At 52.2% G+C, this 3,787-nt stretch overlaps 2 annotated features.

Annotated features, from left to right (window-relative positions):
* Positions 1,860-2,360: an enhancer, noted in NCBI's record as "H3K4me1 hESC enhancer chr20:31869092-31869592 (GRCh37/hg19 assembly coordinates)". NCBI's record gives its function as "activates a minimal SCP1, AML or CMV promoter by ChIP-STARR-seq in naive H9 embryonic stem cells {active_cell/tissue: H9 hESC(naive)}" and the evidence as "EXISTENCE:reporter gene assay evidence [ECO:0000049][PMID:30033119]".
* Positions 2,361-2,861: an enhancer, noted in NCBI's record as "H3K4me1 hESC enhancer chr20:31869593-31870093 (GRCh37/hg19 assembly coordinates)". NCBI's record gives its function as "activates a minimal SCP1, AML or CMV promoter by ChIP-STARR-seq in primed H9 embryonic stem cells {active_cell/tissue: H9 hESC(primed)}" and the evidence as "EXISTENCE:reporter gene assay evidence [ECO:0000049][PMID:30033119]".

A 3,787-nucleotide genomic window follows, 5' to 3' on the forward strand; every position in this document is an offset into this window, starting at 1 on the left:
CATCTGTCCACGTCATCAGAAACCCTCTCTGGTTTTCCGCATGACTGCAGTCTTCCCAGGAGAGCTTGGCCCTCGTTCTGGCTGGAGATGGTAGGGCAGGCTGGGTCAGTGCGTGGAGCATGGGCTCTCAATTCAGACAGAAATGGGTCCCAATCCTGGCCCTCTGCTTTATGGTTGTGGGACCTTAGGCAAGTCAATTCCCTTCTCCAAGGTCCTACTTCATCTGGAAAATGGGAGGATAAAAACCCCTATTTTCTCCTCTCTTGGCCTCAGTTTGGTGATCTGTAGAATGGAGATGATCTTTTCCACTCTGCCATCTTGCTGTGTCTGAGCATCCAGCTTTGATTTAACATCAGATTATCTCCCCACCCCTAACCGAGGCTTCTGTGGATCAGCTTGGTGGGAAAGGGGAGAAGAGGTGTGTGTTCTCTCCCTGCACTTCCCTCTCCTTCTCTTTCTCTCTCTCTCTCTCTCTCTCTCTCTCTCCATCCAGAAGGAAGAAAAGGGGCAGGAGAATTTTCCTTTGACTGATATTGTTGCCAGGTAGTTCCCAACTCTCTGGGGAGCCCAAAAAATGTTGAGAGCCAAGTCTTGTCGGCACCTTCAAAGAGGTAGTCTTACCTCCCTGTGGGGCTTCTTGACCTGCACCCCCCACACCAGGGCAGAGCCTCTTTGATGGCTAACTGTCCCGCAGGCCACCCCAGCCACTCCCAGCCCCTGGTTCTCTAGCGTCCTCTCCAGGTGGTGATACTAGGAAGGACTTCAAGCAGCCCTAGACCGATCTTCGTCTTGCAGGGTCCACACCCGGCCCTGGGAAAACACACACACACATGCGCTTTGACCCTGCCCAGAGGGAACAGAGAGCAGTAATTTTCCACTTACGGAAGTCACTTTGCCCAACATGACTTCAACTCATCAGGAGACACAACCCAGTCTACTGCAAGCCCCAACTCCAGGGGAGACAAACCTCAAGCCCCTAAGTGGTCCCTGAAAAGGTCCCTCCTGCTAGGCCTGCATTGAGGCCCAAACACCTCCTGCCCTCCTCCCTGGGAGAGGAGGAGGGACCACAGCTGTCTCCCAAGAAATACCTCTGCCATCTTCTTCCTGTCCCTTCTTGGCCCTTTCGTTGCCTTAATCTGGGTCAGGGCCCCCTGCATGAGAGATGCAGGAGCTGTGCAACTGGTTTTTAGCCACTGCTTGGTCTGTGGCCCAGGACCTCTCCTTGGTATACAGCATCTGGGAAATCATGGTGCCTAAAACAACACTCAAGTTTTCAGACCCAGTTCCAGTAAATGCTAGTAAGGACACCCTCAGTGTGCAGCAAAAAGAGCCCTACCTTAGAGAGGGTGGTCCCCTTGTCCCCTGCTCCCCCACCCCACCCCAGGAGGCAACACTGTAGCTGAGACTTGGTGAATTAGAAGAAGCCAGAATGAGAGCTGGAAGGAGAGCGCTCCTGGGATAAGGCCAGCATGTGCGCAGGCCCTGGGGTGGGAGTGAGAGGAGCGAGGGATGAAGTAGAGAGAGGTGAGGGCTGAAAGGTGGCCAGCAGCCAAACATGCTGGGAAGAGGACATCCAGGCCAGGTGGAGCAGCAGTCAGGCAGCTTTATGCAGATGTTGCGTTCTTTTTTGTGTGTGTGAGACAGAGTCTTGCTCTGTAGCCCGGGCGGGAGTGCAGTGGTGCGATCTTGGCTCACTGCAACCTCTGCCTCCTGGGTTCAAGTGGTTCCCCTGCCTCAGCCTTCTGAGTAACTGGGTCTACAGGCACGTGCCACCTAAAAACCATGCCCGTCTAATTTTTTTTTTTTTTTTTTTTTAGAGACAGGGTTTCACCATGTTGACCAGGCTGATCTCAAACTCCTGACCTCAGGTAATCCACCAGTATTTGCCTCCCAAAATGCTGGTATTACAGGTGTGAATTTACCACTTGCTGAATTCTCTGATGTTTCAAGCATTTCTCATGACCTTACGAGACCCTCAAAATAGTCCCATTTCACAATGGAGGAAACAGTCTCATAGAGAAGAAGCAATTTTCCCAAGGCTGACAGCTGTCAGTATAGGAGCAGGAATCTGAGCCGTGTCTGTCGGCCTCCACAGGCTTCCTCCTGCACTCCTGCGCTTCTTCCCAGACAGGGCACAATTAGGTTTTCAGGAGGGTGAAGGAGGTACTCCAGAAAGAGGACACGGCACAAAAAGGCCTGGGAGCTGAAGAGAGGTGGAGCCAAGGCCAAGAGACGCCAGCAACCTGAGGAGGGGCCACGCGGTACTGAGGGCAGGTGTGGAGTCTGGGGACCATGGGCCTGCAGAGATGCAGCCAGCTTTGCTGTCCCAGCACGTGGCAGGAAGCAGGAGCTGATGCGGCCCCAGGTCTTGGCATTGGGCCCGAGCACCGCACAGAGGGTCATTGTCCATGGGCAGTGGGCATGGCCAGCTGGGAAGCCAAGCAGGGGCATTTGCCTCTCTGGAGATGTGCCCAAGGGATCGGCAGGGTCCTCCCAAGAGCTCTCTCAAAACACCTCACCTTTAGGTATTCAGGGCTTTTGGTGTGTTTGCAAACATGGCAGGACAGCAAACGCTCTTCACCTTGTTCTTCTTGTCAAAAAGCAGGAGGAAGAGACCAGCCAGGGCCTGGCCACGTACTTTGTGACCTCAGAACACTTACTGCCCCTGACTTGTCTGCTGCAGATGGAGACAGGATTCAACAATGGCCATCCCAGCTCTAAACCACAATTCCATTCTTCTAGACAAAAACTGGGTAGCAAGGATAATTCCCCAGATGACATCAAAAGGCCATGTTGGTGTCACCACCACCTCCAGTGCTAAATTGAAGTCTCAGGGGAAGGACAGTGTGGCGGTTAAGAGGGTCCGGTCTGGACTGATGATCGGGTTCAGGTCCCAAAGCTGGAATCCCTGGTCATGTGACCTTGAGCAAGTCACTCGCCTCTCTGAGCCTCAGGTGCCCTCTGTAACATTAACGCTGCTGATGCCCACCTCTGGGTGACTGTGCAGGCTGCGTGAGCCAAGACCTGGGCCCAGGTGGTGGATGACAGCGTCCTGCTGGGCTCTGACATTTGTCCTTTAGGTTCATGGTCATCCCTCCTTATTCTTTTGGTCCACAAGTGCTCATGGAGATTCCTAAAGATGCAGACAAGGTAGAGCAGATTTTAATTGCTGCGGAATGAATGAATGAATGAAATGAAAGCCCATGCTAAGCACTGTGTAGGCATGCACTTCAACTCATGCTCTTAACAACCTATGAGGAGGAGCTACTATTATCCCCATGCTATAGATGAGGTCATTGGGGCCCAGAGAGGTGAAGTACCTTGCCCAAGGGCACACAGCAAAGCAGTGGCAAAAATAGGATTCAAATCTATTCTCCTGGGTGAATTAATTGATGGAGATGTGTATCTTTGATGTATTTAGGAATAAGGGGTGGGTAAGGCTACTCCTTCCTTTTCCCAAATTGATTATCTGGATTAAACAATTGTTGTAATCCCTCTACAAAGGCTCATCCTATTATAAGCAATAATAATATTAATGGCAACGGCCACTCACATTTATGGAGTGCTTATTCTGCTATATGCACTGTGCTTCTCTCAGCCTGGACCTTCCTTTCTCCAAACCTCAGGAAGCTGGAGTCCCAAGGCTGCCTCCGGGCGGGGCTGTGGTTCAGCAGAAGCCACAAATATTTACCTTGGAGACCTCGGCCTGGTCTGAGGCCTCTGCCTAAAGACAAAGCCTGTGCTGGGGTGTGCAGGATATAAGGTTGGACTTCCAGACCCACTGCCC

This window comes from Homo sapiens, chromosome 20, assembly GCF_000001405.40.
Source record: "Homo sapiens chromosome 20, GRCh38.p14 Primary Assembly".
NCBI lineage: Eukaryota > Metazoa > Chordata > Mammalia > Primates > Hominidae > Homo > Homo sapiens.